This window comes from Homo sapiens, chromosome 1, assembly GCF_000001405.40.
Source record: "Homo sapiens chromosome 1, GRCh38.p14 Primary Assembly".
NCBI lineage: Eukaryota > Metazoa > Chordata > Mammalia > Primates > Hominidae > Homo > Homo sapiens.
In genome coordinates, this window is record NC_000001.11 from 112868952 (window position 1) to 112882717 (window position 13766).

The 13766-nt window shown below is 47.4% G+C and overlaps 1 long non-coding RNA gene and 1 other non-coding gene across 3 annotated transcripts in view, besides 3 other annotated features; both read left to right on the top strand.

The window, feature by feature from the left end:
* LINC01357 (long intergenic non-protein coding RNA 1357) overlaps window positions 1-8920 on the top strand; it is a 28015-nt gene extending 19095 nt beyond the window's left edge. The window contains exons 2-3 of one of the 2 annotated variants that reach the window (NR_189281.1): window positions 7989-8033; window positions 8779-8920. This is a non-coding gene — a long non-coding RNA (long intergenic non-protein coding RNA 1357). The remainder of the gene's footprint in view (window positions 1-7988; window positions 8034-8778) is intronic. The other variant, NR_189282.1, reaches the window with a different exon arrangement.
* Window positions 396-690: a silencer, noted in NCBI's record as "tiled region #5001; HepG2 Repressive non-DNase unmatched - State 22:ReprW". NCBI's record gives its function as "represses a minimal TATA promoter and a strong SV40 promoter by Sharpr-MPRA in HepG2 cells {active_cell/tissue: HepG2}" and the evidence as "EXISTENCE:reporter gene assay evidence [ECO:0000049][PMID:27701403]".
* Window positions 9304-9901: an enhancer, noted in NCBI's record as "H3K27ac hESC enhancer chr1:113420877-113421474 (GRCh37/hg19 assembly coordinates)". NCBI's record gives its function as "activates a minimal SCP1, AML or CMV promoter by ChIP-STARR-seq in primed H9 embryonic stem cells {active_cell/tissue: H9 hESC(primed)}" and the evidence as "EXISTENCE:reporter gene assay evidence [ECO:0000049][PMID:30033119]".
* Window positions 11895-12815: an enhancer, noted in NCBI's record as "H3K27ac-H3K4me1 hESC enhancer chr1:113423468-113424388 (GRCh37/hg19 assembly coordinates)". NCBI's record gives its function as "activates a minimal SCP1, AML or CMV promoter by ChIP-STARR-seq in naive H9 embryonic stem cells {active_cell/tissue: H9 hESC(naive)}" and the evidence as "EXISTENCE:reporter gene assay evidence [ECO:0000049][PMID:30033119]".
* On the top strand, window positions 13099-13178 carry MIR11399 (microRNA 11399). The gene has a single exon (NR_162120.1). It is a non-coding gene; the product is annotated as a microRNA 11399 (primary transcript).
* Window positions 13179-13766: the final 588 nt, after the last annotated feature.

Here is a 13766-nt window from a genome sequence, read left to right on the forward strand (position 1 = left end):
CTACTAGTGTTATCTGTAAATTCCAGACATTGTATGTGAAAGCACTGTAAAACTTTTTGTTCTGTTAGCTGATGTATGTAGCCCCTAGTCACGTTCCTCACACTTACTTGATCTATTACGACCTTTTCACGTGGACCCCTTAGAGTTGTAAGCCCTTAAAAGGGCTAGGAATTTCTTTTTTGGGGAGCTCAGCTCTTAAGACGCGAGTCTGCTGACACTCCCAGCCCAATAAAAACCTCTTCCTTCTTTAATCCGGTGTCCTAGGAGTTTTGTCTGCGACTTGTCCTGCTACAGTAATGGTAACAAACTGGAGAGAACTTAACAAGGCCTGTTTATTCACAGCTTCTTGGCATCTCTGCGTCTTCATTCTTTTCTTCTGGGTATAGGAAGGAGGCCCTGCAAATAGGGTCTTATGACCTTATTTTGTAAGAAGGTCAGAGAATTCTTTTAGGGCCTGCTTCATGGGAGAAAGTCAGGGGAAGGTCAGAGAGACCTTCCCTGTTAAACCTTCCCCATAGTGTTAACAATAATTACATGCCAGGCTTTAGATAAAAGTATAGATTAAGCATTAGTCAGGTTGTCCTATGACTCATTTCCCTATAGCCTCTTATGGACCATGTAGGCCAGGACATAAACCATGAATTTACTTATTGTTCTTGTAGATAGGAACTTTGACTTTAGGAGCCTTACAACTTTTCATTTGAGATGTTTTTCAGAACTAACGCCAATGAGTCCAAAGACCACACCAAGGAACCAAGTCGGTCTGAGAATGCAGTTTCTTCAGCTGGGCGCGGTAGCTCACGCCTGTAATCCCAACACTTTGGGAGGCCAAGGCGGGCAGATCATGAGGTCAGGAGTTCGATACCAGCCTGGCCAACATGGTGAAACCCCGTCTCCCCTAAAAATACAAAAATTAGCTGGGCGTGGTGGTGTGCACTTGTAATCCCAGCTACTGGGGAGGCTGAGGCAGGAGAACGGCTTGAACCCAGGAGGCAGAGGTTGCAGTGAGCTAAGATCGTGTCACTGCACTCCAGCCTGGGTGACAAACAAGAATCTGTCTCAAAAAAAAAAAAATGCAGTTTCTTCACCTCCATCCTATGACATCACCCTTCACTCTTTGAACAATCGACACCTTGGCCCACTACTCGTCCAAACCCCTTAAGGTCTCTAGACCCAAACTCTTTGAAGAGGTGGTTTTGAGGTTTCTTCTCATCTCATTTGGTGGCCTTACAATTAAACCTCTTTCTCTGCTGCAACCTGGAGTCTTGGTGCATTGACTTTCTGCATATCAGGCAACACACCCAGCACAATCACCCCTGCACATGCTGTTTGTCCATTCAGTTCTTCAGCTTGAATTCTTTTTTTTTGAGATGGAGTTTCACTCTTGTTGCCCAGGCTGGAGTGCAATGGTGTGATCTTGGCTCACCGCAACCTCTGTCTACCGAGTTCAAGTGTTCTCCTGCTTCAGCCTCCTGCGTAGCTGGGATTACCGGCATGCGCCACCACGCTCAGCTAATTTTGTATTTTTAGTAGAGACGGTGTTTCTCCATGTTGGTCAGGCTGGTCTTGAACTCCCGACCTCAGGTGATCCACCCGCCTCAGCCTCCCAAAGTGCTGGGATTATAGGCGTGAGCCACCATGCCCAGCCGAATTATTTCACATGTCAAGGCACCATATTTTAGGGTAGTGCATCCTGCACTCCATCTGGAACACATGCCACATCCCTTCTGCTACATTCTACTGGTCAAAGCATCCCTTTTGCTACATGCCACTAGTCAAAGCAAGTTACAAAAGCAGGCCAGATCCAAAGGTTGAGGAAACAGAACCCCACCTCTGAGAAGCAGCAAATAATTTGTGACCATGTTTAATCTACCATAAAGAATTTGGCCAGGATCAGAGATGGTTGCCCACACTTTTGTCCTTTCTCTTACTGAACTGGAGTTTTGAAGAGGCCATCACGCGGTCTACCCCCTTTAGAAGGAGATCTGCAAAAGCTTTAAATGTTTGCCCTGAGCTCTCAGTTTCTCTGGTTTTTCCTTTTCCCATCTCTCTCTCTCTCTCTCTCTCTCTGAGCCCCACCCCACTTTCCCTGCTGCCCCATCCTCTGTAATTCAGCTACAGCCAAGCTGTAGCTTTTCCTGTCTAGCCCTACCCAACTCAGGGACCCATTCTTCTCCCCATTTCAAGCCCCATAGGCCTCCTCAACTCTCCCTGGAAAGGAGAAACCGGCTCAAAGTGAGTTGAGTGGAGAATTGGGAAAGCTCTTTGAGACTTCTGGAGTTCCCAGTAGCAAAAGGAAACAGGATAACAAAACAGGGTGAAACCTGAATGATGGCATGGAGGGGCTGGTGGGGGTGCTCACAAGAGGTAGGATGGAAAAGAACTGAAAACAGAAAGTTGCCCTTACCTTCCCGGACTTGAGGGACCTGTGACTCTAGGCAATTGAGGGTAGTTGTCTTGCCAAGGTGATAGCATGTAATAGCCCATAATTACCCATAATGACTTCATGAGGCTCAGCCTAGGTGGGAGCCCAGGCATTTCAAGATAATGTCTTTTCTTCCCTTTGTATTCTGAGTGTGTTAGCTCCCTGCATGGATTGAAAGGTGCTTATTAACACAAGTGCCCTTGTTAATTAGGTTGGTTCTGACTTACGTGCTACTTATTAGATACTCAAGTCAATATGGATAAGTGTCCTGCTTCTGGGCCAGGGACAGAGAAAAAGCCAGAAAACCCACTTCTCCTCAAAAGGTGTCTCTGGTGTCCAGAAAGGACAGAGGATGCTTCATTTTTATGGTGCTGGGATGAGCTGAGGGAAGGGGAGAAGCAGGAGGCAAACCCTGGTGGGGGCGCTGCTGGAAGGAGACAGCTCACAGGACACCACCACCACAAGCTGAGCCTCCACTTTCCCATCTGTGATGTGGGGTTTAGAACCAGAGTATTGGCATGAGAAAGGATTAGAGATGAATGCCCACTTTTGTCCTTGTAAGAAAAAATTGTGGAACTTTGAAATTAAGTAGGAGTCCTGGCCTAAATAGTTCATCCTTCTAGATTATCTCTTTCTTTATCTCTTCCTAGTTTGTCTTTTTTTTTTTTTTTTTTTTTTTTTTTTTTGAGACGGAGTCTCACTCTTGTCGCCCAGGCTGGAGTGCAATGGCGTGATCTCGGCTCACCACAACCTCTGCCTCCCAAGTTCAAGCGATTCTCCTGCCTCAGCCTCCCAAGTAGCTGGGATTACAGGCGCCTGCCACCATGCCCAGCAAATTTTTGTATTTTTAGTAGAGACGGGGTTTCACCATGTTGGCTAGGCTGGTATCAAACTCCCGACCTCGAGTGATCTGCCCACCTTGGCCTCCCAAAGTGCTGGGATTACAGGCGTGAGCCACCACACCCGGCCCCTAGCTTTTCTTTGATTAGGATATTTTACCACTCTGTAGAGATAACAGTTGACTTGTAAAAATCTGGTAGTAAGACAGTTTCCTTCTAAAGAAATGCAAATTGCATCAATTGTACAGTGAAATGCAGTTGATTCTATTCCTTTGGTATGATAGGGTTCACGACATACTACTCCAAAATGTGGCACCTCGGCATTCGAGAAAACAAGAGAAGCTGGGAGGTTTCTCTGGCCTTCTCCCACTGTTCTCCCACTGTTCTCCCCTGAGGCAGGCCATAAAACTGAATTGAACTTCTCCTGAAGTAGGTCATAAGGCCCTCATTTCAGAGGGGTTCTCTCTATATCTGGAGAAAAGGAATAAAGACACAGAGATGCCAAGAAGAATCTGAACAAACAGGCCTTGCTAAGTTCCCCCAGTTCCCTCCCGCTCCTGTCTCTGACTCCTCTGCCTTTCCCAGAACACAGGGAGAGGCTTTCTCTGAAGTTCCCTTATCTGACCAAGGGAAGTTTCTTCAGAAGGAATGCAGTTGTCTTGGGCCCTCTCCCTACAATCTCATTAAACAGAGAAGATTAACTCACAGGAAAGGAGACTGGAGTTGACACCAAACCCAGAGCCCAGACGAACTTTGTGACACGATATTGCCTGTTCTTTGGGCCCATTCATTCCCCCTAAGAATCGTTTACTCTTTCTCTAAAATTGCCTAGAGCCCCCACCTCCCTTACTGCTATGAAGAGGGCATTTAAGCTTCAGCTATCTGGCCCTTTGAGTTTACTTTGTGTGACTCTCATTTGTGTAACTCTCTTGCACTTGCATATTAATGAATTCATCAGCCTTTTCTCCTGTTAATCTGCCTGTTGTCCATTTATTTCAGCAGATGCTATTATCAAACTTTCAGAGGGGAAGTGTAAACTTTCCTGCAATACACTTTTGGCTTTTGATCATACTTCTGCATGACTGCCCATAAAAATACACAGATTTTTCAGTTCTTTTGGGTCTTTGTTTCTGAAGGCTCCTGTGTTAAATAAAATTTAAACTTTGGTTAAATAAAACTTTGGTTAAATAAAGATGTATGTTTTTATCTTGCTGATCTGTCTTTTGTTATAGGGGTCACTGCCATGAACCTTGCAAAGATTAGGGAAAAGATAATACTTTATCACACATAAATATTGACCAGTTTTTTCAGTTCTTCGAGTTTTGCATCCACTTGTAAATGCATCTCAACATTCTTTATCTGACTCTAAACTTGATAGTTTTCTTTAAAATGGACTATAATATTCAAATTATATTAATGAGGGTTTCCTTATTAATTAATGAATTAAATGTTTTGCATTTTATATCTGTGTAACAGTATATCCTTTTAAAATATTAATCTTGTGGCCGGGTGTGGTGGTTCATGCCTATAATCCCAACACTTTGGGGGGCCAAGGCAGGCAGATCGCTCGAGCTCAGGAGTTCGAGACCAGCCTGGGCAACATGGTGAAACCCTGTCTCTACCAAAAAGTACAAAAAAAAAAAAAATTAGCCAGACGTGGTGTCACAAGCCTCTAGTCCCAGCTACTCAGGAGGCTGAGGTGAGAGGATCACCTGAGCCCAGGACGCGGAGGTTGCAGTGAGCCAAGATCATGCCACTGCACTCCAGTCTGGGTGACAGAGCAAGACCCCTCTCAAAAAAAAAAAAAATTACTCATTTAACATTCTACAGAAGAAGAAAAGTAGGCCCCAAGAGGAGGTGGGACTTACCTGAGATCACACAGCTCATCTGTCCCAAAGCATGACTAGAAGAAGCCAGGCCTCCTTTGGCTTCTTTAAGTTCAGTAATCACTAAGGTACCTCACAGGATTGTCTTCAGAACCAGAAGGTGGAAGAGAGAAGAGAAAGTGGTGTGAAAGTGAATGACGCCAAGCAGAGGGGAGGGCTTCCTCTCTGGGCTGTGGTGGCTCATGAGGTCCTGGGCTCCAGGCCTCATAAGGCAGTGATGTGAGCACGGCTAGGGGTGTCAGCCTCTTGAGTTTCCTTAGCTGCCCTGCTTCCCTCACAGGGCCCTGGGGTGAGGGGTGAGGTGAGAGAGGAGGCCTGTGAAAGTGCTGTGGTGGTTTTTAAAATATGCCCACAAATTCTTTGATATTCCTCCCTTCAAGAGGTGGAGCCTTGGCCGGGCACGGTGGCTCATGCCTGTAATCCCAGCACTTTGGGAGGCCAAGGCGGGCAGATCATCTGAGGTCGGGAGTTAAAGACCAGCCTGACCAACATGGAGAAACTCTGTCTCTACTAAAAATACAAAATTATCCGGGCGTGTTGGCACATGTCTGTAATTCCAGCTACTCAGGAGGCGGAGGCAGGAGAATCACTTAAACCCAGGAGGTGGAAGTTGCAGTAAGTCGAGATTGCACCATTGCACTCCAGCCTGGGCAACAAGAGTGAAACTCCGTCTCAAAAAAACAAAGAAAAAAAGAGGTGGAGGCTCAAAAAGGTAGAGCCTAGGCTGGGTGCGGTGGCTCACACCTGTAATCCTAGCACTTATGGGAGGCCGAGGTGGGTGGATCACCTGAGATCAGGAGTTTGAGACCAGCCTGGGCAACATGGTGAAACCCCCTCTCCACTAAAAATATAAAAATTAGCTGGGCATGGTGGCGGGCACCCATAGTCTCAGCTATGCAAGAGGCTGAGCCAGGAGAATAGCTTGAACCCAGGAGGCAGAGGTTGCAGTGAGCTGAGATCATGCCACTGCACTCTAGCCTGGGCAACAGAGCAAGACCCTGTCTCCAAAAAAAAAAAAAAAAAAAATTTAGAGCCTAGAGCCTAGTTCCCCTCAAGGGTTGATTGGATTTAGTGACTCACTTCTTACAAATAGAATAAAATGGAAGTGATGCTCTGTGTGTGTGTGTGTGTGTGTGTGAGAGAGAGAGAGAGAGAGAAAGAGAGAGAGACAGTCATAAAACAGCACTGTGGCTTCCATCTTGGTGATACTCTCTTGGATTTCTTACTCTGGGAGAAGCCAACTGCTCTGAGAATACTCAGGCAGCCCTGTGGAGAGGCCCTTTCTGTGAGGAATTGAGGCCTCCAGCAAGTAGCCATGTGTAGTGAATTCCAGGAGCACGGGGGCTCATGCCTGTAATCCCAGCACTTTGGGAGGCCAAGGTGGGCAGATCATGAGGTCAGGAGTTCGAGACCAGCCTGACCAACATGGTGAAACCCCGTCTCTGCTAAAAACACAAAAAAATTAGCCAGGCATGGTGGCAGGCACCTGTAGTCCCAGCTACTCAGGAGGCTGAGGCATGAGAATAGCTTGAACCTGGGAAGTAGAGGTTGCAGTGAGCCGAGATAGCGCCACTGCACTCCAGCCTGGGCTACAGAACAAGAATCTGTCTCAAAAAAAAAAAAAAAAAAAAGAAAAGAAAGAGAGAAAGAAAAAGGAAAAAAAGAAAGAAAAGAAAAGCTCGATATCACTGATCACTAGAGAAATGCAAATCAAAACCACAATGAAATACCACCTCACACCAGTCATAATGGCTATTATTGAAAAGTCAAAAAATGGCCAGGCACGGTGGCTCACACCCGTAATCCCAGCACTTTGGGAGGCTGAGTGGGTGGATCACGAGGTCAAGAGTTTGAGATTAGCCTGACCAACATGGTGAAACACCGACTCTACTGAAAATACAAAAATTAGCCGGGTGTGGTGGCACACGCCTGGAATCTCAGCTACTCAGGAGGCTGAGGCAGGAGAATTGCTTAAACCTGGGAGGAGAGGTTGCGGTGAGCCGAAATCACGCCATTGCACTCAGCCTGGGCAACAGAGGGAGACTCTGTCTCAAAAAAAAAAGAAAAGAAAAGAAAAGAAAAAAGTCAAAAAATAACACATGCTGGCGAGATTGTATGGAGAATAGGGAAGCCTTATATGATGTTATGATGTTGGTAGGAGTGTAAATTAGTTCAACCATTGTGGAAAGCAGTGTGGCAATTCCTCAAAGAGCTAAAAGCAAAACTATCATTCGACCCAGCAATCTCATTACTGGGTATATACCAAGAGGGAGATAAAGCGTTCTACCATAAAGACACATGCATGTGAATGTTCATTGCAGCACTACTCACAATAGCAAAGACATGGAATCAACCTAAATGCTCACCAGTGACAGACTGGATAAAGAAAATGTGGTACATGTGCACCATGGAATACCATGCAGCCATAAAAAAGAACAAGATTTTTTTGCCAGAATATGAATGGAGCTGGAGGCTATCATTCTTGGCAAAATTATGCAGGAACAGAAAACCAAATACTGCATGTTCTCACCTGTAAGTGGGAACTAAATGATGAGAACTTATGAACACAAGGAAACAACAGTCACTGGTGTCTATTGAGGAGGGAGGTTGGGAAGGAGAAGAACAGCAGAAAAGATAACTATTGAGTACTGGGGGTTAATACCTGGGTGATATATAATAATAGTATGTACAACAAACCCCTGTGACACTCGTTTATCTGTGTAACAAACCTTCACGTGTACCCCCAAACCTAAAATAAAAATTAAAAAAAAAGAAAAAGATATGGCTATGAGGTGGTAATAACATACAACAAGCTTTATTTGGGCCGTGTTTTGACAGGGTTGCCTGCTGAGGAAGCTTTTCACAGCATGAGACCTTCCGCAGGTAATGACTGAGGCCACCAGCTAGAAGAGAAGGAGGGTGGGGGAGATTCTGGGGGACACGGAGATTGGAGCGGATCCTTAGATGTCTAGATGATGCCCTCAGTAGTAGGGTGTGGAGTCTCAGAGTCAGAGAGATCCAAAGGGCAGCTATGGCTGGTGCTTTTTTTTTTTTTTTTTTTTGAGACAGAGTTTCCCTCTATGGCCCAGGCTGGAGTGCAGTGGCGTGATCTTTGCTCACTGCAAGCTCCGTCTCCCAGGTTCATGCCATTCTCCTGCCTCAGCCTCCTGAGTAGCTGGGACTACAGGTGCGTGCCACCACATCCGGCTAATTTTTTGTATTTTTAGTAGAGACGGGGTTTCACCGTGTTAGCCAGGATGGTCTCGATCTCCTAACCTCATGATCCACCAGCCTCAGCCTCCCAAAGTGCTGGGATTACAGTTGTGAGCCACCATGCCCGGCAACTGGGGCCTTTTATAGCACCAGAGTTTATTGTATCTGTGGCTAGTAAATGTGGGATTCTGTTTTGTGGGGTATGCAAAACCGGAAGGCTGTCAATGACTAACGATCTGTTTATTTAGACTATATTTAAAGCAATTGGGTGTATAAAAAATTTGAGCTTGGCACTGGTAAACTTTTGAGGCAATGATACCAGTCTGCTGTGAAGCAATAAAAAATATAGGGCCAATATAGAGTTAATATAACTTTGGCTTATTATGTAACAGCATGTCTGTCTTTGATTCTTTAGGCTCAATCAAACCTTCAATGGCCCCGAAAGACATCTTGATTGAAACCTCATGAGAGACTCTGAGCCAGAAAACCCAGCAACTTAGAACCCAGATACCTGACCATCAGCCACTGTGTGAAATAATAAATGTTTGTTGTTTTAAGCTGCTAGTAATATGAGTGTCTTGAGAAACAAAGCCAGTCGGGCTGCACTTAAGGCTGGCTTTGTGTTCCCTCCAGCCTTTGTCTTCCCCCATCATGACAACTTGTGCTCTTTCTCCCAGGAGGCTGAGGATGCTGCTCTGAAACCAGCCAGGCAAGAACCTCAGTTAGCATCAGCAACAGCTGCTCCTCAATTTGCTTTCTGAATTATTTAGCCCTTCTTTGCTTCTATCCTAAATCCAGACCTTTTAAAATATTAATATTTTAAATATGCCTGGGCCTTGGCTTGGAAGTCTGTATTTCTCTCCTGTCTCTGCCCAAGGCTAGACGTCTTAGAGAAGAGTTATCTCTGCCCTGAATGATTTTCTCTTTGGCTCTGGCTCCTGGAAATTAAATCTGGCTGGGTTCTAACCAAAGAAAGGGAAACCATTTTCACAATGGAATCAAAAGAGTTTCTTTTCTACAAATGCAGCCTTTTACTTGCCCAAGCTCACAGGGCTTGTGTCACAGCTGGTGATCTGAGACCCAGACCCTCTCACCACCTCCCAGCCACCACCACGCCAGAGGGAGACAAAGCTCGCACTGCTGTGAGACGTTCTCTGCTTCCCATGACCGCTGCGTCATTTACTTATCTCTCAGTTCTCCTGCCACCCCGTGAAGTCCCTGAAACCTCTGGGGATGCAGGAGCCCAACACAGCCGACAGACCAGGAGAGGGGTCCTGAGCTCTGCTGTCGTGCAGTGGCTCTCTGCTGGCCTTCATGTCCTTACCTGCAAGTTGAGAGGGTGGCACCATCTCTCAGGGCTGCAGAAGTTGGAGTTTGTGAGTCTGAAACCCCATTTGGCCGTTAGAAAGCCAAGTCGCACAGGTTATAATACACCTCTGACTGGCCCCCAGGACTTGATTCCTCACCCAGGGTTCAATCCTACAACTGGGCTGCGCCTCACTCACCTCCCCAGACTTTATGCCAGGCATAGAGGGAAGTGGGACCTTTATTCTGAGAGCTAAGGGAGGGCTCCTTCCTGCTTCTCAGCCTTCTCAGGAGCCCTTCCCTGGGCACCTTCTTTGCCTGGTGAACTCAGACTTTCCTTCCTTCAGTGCAGAGCCACCCCCTAACTCCTGCCCACCCAGCCTCTCAGAGCAGGGCAGGATGGCCTATCCAATATCCCCTCTCCCTCACCCTTGCATCCTCTCCTGGTCCTTTGGGGCATTCCCCAGATGTGTGAATTTACTATTAATTCTGTCTCCCCTGTTAGTCTGTTAGTTCCAGACAGGGCAGGAAACTATAACCTCTAGGAAGGGCTGTATCTGTGTTTCAACAATTCCTGATTTTCATATCCTGAAGCTTCAGAACCCCTGGAATAATTCCCAAGCAAATCAGCAGCCTCTCCTTCCAGCCAGGAGGCATCACAGCTCCAACGTAGCACAACCCAGCTTGGGGGCTTGGGCTACTGGAAGGGAGGCCACAGGGTCAAGATTAGGCTGGAGATGCCTCAGAAAGTATCTAGAAATGTCTGGTATGACCAGGCTGCAATCAGAAGAGGAGTGTCCAGGCCACTGGGTGACTGTCCTACTATGTCCCAATGGCTCCATCATTCACGGAGCGCTGCAGAACTTCGAATGTGGGACAAACACATGCCCCTAGGACTGTTGAGGTTGCTCACCTCCTCAATCTAGACCTGATCTGTTCAGAAGGCAGGGACAGGGTCTGCACTACCCTGTCTTCCTCACAGCCTGGCACAGGCCTGGCACCCATAAGCCCTTGCTCTGTGGCTCTGCCTGGCAGAAGCTGACCCAGTGTCAGAAGAGCCTTCTAGCAGTTGGAGCTGCCTGGGCACCAAAAGGGCTGCTTGAGAGGATGAGTCCCTGTCACTGTCAGTGCTCAGGCTGAGACCACATTAGCTGGGTCAGGTGCTAAGCTGGGAGTGCTGTGCTGGGAGGGAATTGCCTTCTGTTAGTTGTTCATTTCTTAGCTTGAATCATTTCCCACAGCATTTCAATAGCTAGGTAAATCAAGTCTCCCTAGTGGAATCTTAGATGATAGGTGAGGAGGGTGGTTTTGGGGCAGCGGATCCAGGCTACTGTTTCTGAAATCACTGCTCATGAGCAGCTCCCTATTCTTCTAGCTGAGGTCATCTCAGCTGACCATGCCCTGAGGGGTCGTAGCCAGAGTCCTGGTGAAAGTTGTCTGCTCCTCCACCCCTTCTTCTCTGCCCTCTTCTGATCAAGAGCATAGGCTGGGGGTGGCACACAGTGGGGGTGAGTAGGGGAGTGGAATCCTGGGTCAGAGGCTCTCACTTTTATTATAACAAGAAGTTCCAAGAGATACCAACTCATTCCCATTCGCACCATGCAGGGGCTCTAATTAAATTTTTCTTTTTTCTAATTTCCATGTGTCAGACAAAATTACAACAAATTTAGTTACAGATTGAATTGGCTTTTATTAGCAATTCATGAATCAGGGAACACCTCATTCTACAAAATAGAATGAATGTTCTGATGAGCTGAGCAGAGGAGATTGGCTTCATAGTATGAAAAGGGCTGAGGAAAGTAGAAACAAAGAACAAAAAGCAGATTGGTTGTTCCTGACTTACTTTCCTTATGAAGGTTAAAGCAAAGGGAACTTCTTCATGATGCCAGCTGAAACTGACCTGTTTGGGGATCTGGCTATTACCTCTCCCGATTTCTTGCAAGGACAGATAGGTAATTTAGTGTTGACTTGGTGGTGTGGAACTTCAACATGAGTAATTCCATTTTGGTTTGGTCTGTTGGGCCTACTGCAGGAGCTCAGGCCAAACCAATGGCCTCCTATAAATTTTATTTAACACGTGAAGGTAGTTCACATTCCCTACCCACATTGTTTACCTGTGGGCAAACAATGAATTAATGCTCTGTTGATTATTGGATCTGATGGAGATCAGAACTGTAATTTGCTTGGGAGCTTGGGTTTTCTTTTTTTCTGTTTTCTTCCACTTTCTAAAAGAAGCAGCTTCAGAGTGGGGAGGGAGACAAGAAGAAAGGAAGCCCATGTTTAGTGAACATCTGCTAAGTGCAGCAGGCTTCTTTGTCAGGGCTCTGGGGAAATCCTTACAACAATGTGAACAAGTCTTGTTACTCTCATCTTTACTGAGGGAGGCCAGTTGGAAGTAATGAGAGTGGAGCCCTGACATGCAGGGGGTGGGCAGCCTGGAGGAGGGATGTCTGGATGCCCAAGGGGAGCCGGGATCCTGCCAAGAGGCTGCAGGGCCGCTCTGGCCACAAGAGGGCACCCCACATTGCCATATCTGGGCTGAGGGTGGTGGAATGAAGACCACAAAGAGGCCTTCTAGGGAGTGACCGTCCTGTGTACCCATACACTGGTCCCTCTCTCCAGGTTTCTTTCTTTCTTTCTTTCTTTCTTTCTTTCTTTCTTTCTTTCTTTCTTTCTTTCTTTCTTTCTTTCTTTTTCTTTCTCTTTCTTTCTCTCTCTCTTCTCTCTTCTCTCCTCTCTCTGTCCTCTCTTCTGTCTTCTCTCCTCTCTCTCTCTCTCTCTCTCTCCTCTCTCCTCTCCTCTCTCTCTCTCTCTCTCTTTCTTTGAGACAGTATTTCGCTCTTGTTGCCCAGGCTGGAGGGCAATGGCGCGATCTCGGCTCACTGAAACCTCCACCTCCCGGGTTCAAGTGATTCTCCTGCCTTAGCCTCTCGAGTAGCTGGGATTACAGGCATGCGCCACCACGCCTGGTTAATTTTCTGCTTTTAGTAGAGACGGGGTTTCTCCATGTTGGTCAGGCTGGTCTCAAACTCCTGACCTCAGATGATCCACCGGCCTCGGCCTCCCAAAGTGCTGGGATTACAGACGTAAGCCACTGCACCCCAGCCTCTCCAGGTTTCTTGAAGAAGGTCGGCATGAGATTCCTCTGGCAACTAGAAACACAGCTGGCTTTCAGGCCCTGCAGAACGCATGTCTCTGTAACTCAGGGCTGTCTGTGTCAGAGGAGGAAGGATATTTGTTGTCGATTAGGGCGTGTGCAGTCTGTGCGTGCTGTGTTGGGAGTGACTGTATATAAGCGTGTGGGTGTAAGTGTGTGAGTTTCTCCAGGATTCTAGTGGAGTGTGGGAGGGGGTGGCGGGGAAGGGCCTGTTCCTGGTTCCAGAGAGCTGGAGCTGCTGCTAAAAGGAGGGAACCTGAAGCAAGATCCAGCTCAGTGCTCTTTCAGGTCTGGGGCTGAAACCTGTCTTGTTTCCCCATCAGAGGCAGTCCCAGGCCCGAAAGAGGAGAGATGGACCTTTGCCTTGCTGCTGGTGGTGGTGGGCAACTCCTCCTACCCTGGTCCAGCAGGACTGCACATTGGGGGCTTCTCAAAGGGCCTGCCAAGCTCCAAGGCTTCCAGTGATGCCTCTTTGCCTAGCAAAGGTTAGGACCCACAGCAGTGGCCAAGCCCTGGAGCCTGTTCAGTCTTGCCAGGAGGACCTGGTGTCACCAAGATTTGCCTGGGGGCACAGCCGCAGTCTTGTGACCCAAGAAATACCACTGGTCTCAGTTTAGACCAGAACTTTTTTTCCCCTGAAAGCTTTGTGGGGGCAGTGGCAGGGAGCCCAGGCTTAGGGGTGGGAGGGGCAGTTGCCATGAGCCTAGAGGCTTCTCCCCACTCTCACCACGGTCATCAGACAGCTGCTTCACATGAATAAGCTCTGCAGGCTGTACCCTGGCCTGGTGTCTCAGCCGGGGATTTGGAGGCATTAGGGTTGGTGGAAATTAAATCTAGAGTGGGAGCCTCAGGCCAGTAGGCTGACGCCCTGAACAGTGTCCCAGAGCAGGAAGAGGAAGTCCTGAGGCTTCTCAGAGCCAAATTGGGAGGGGGAATAGCAA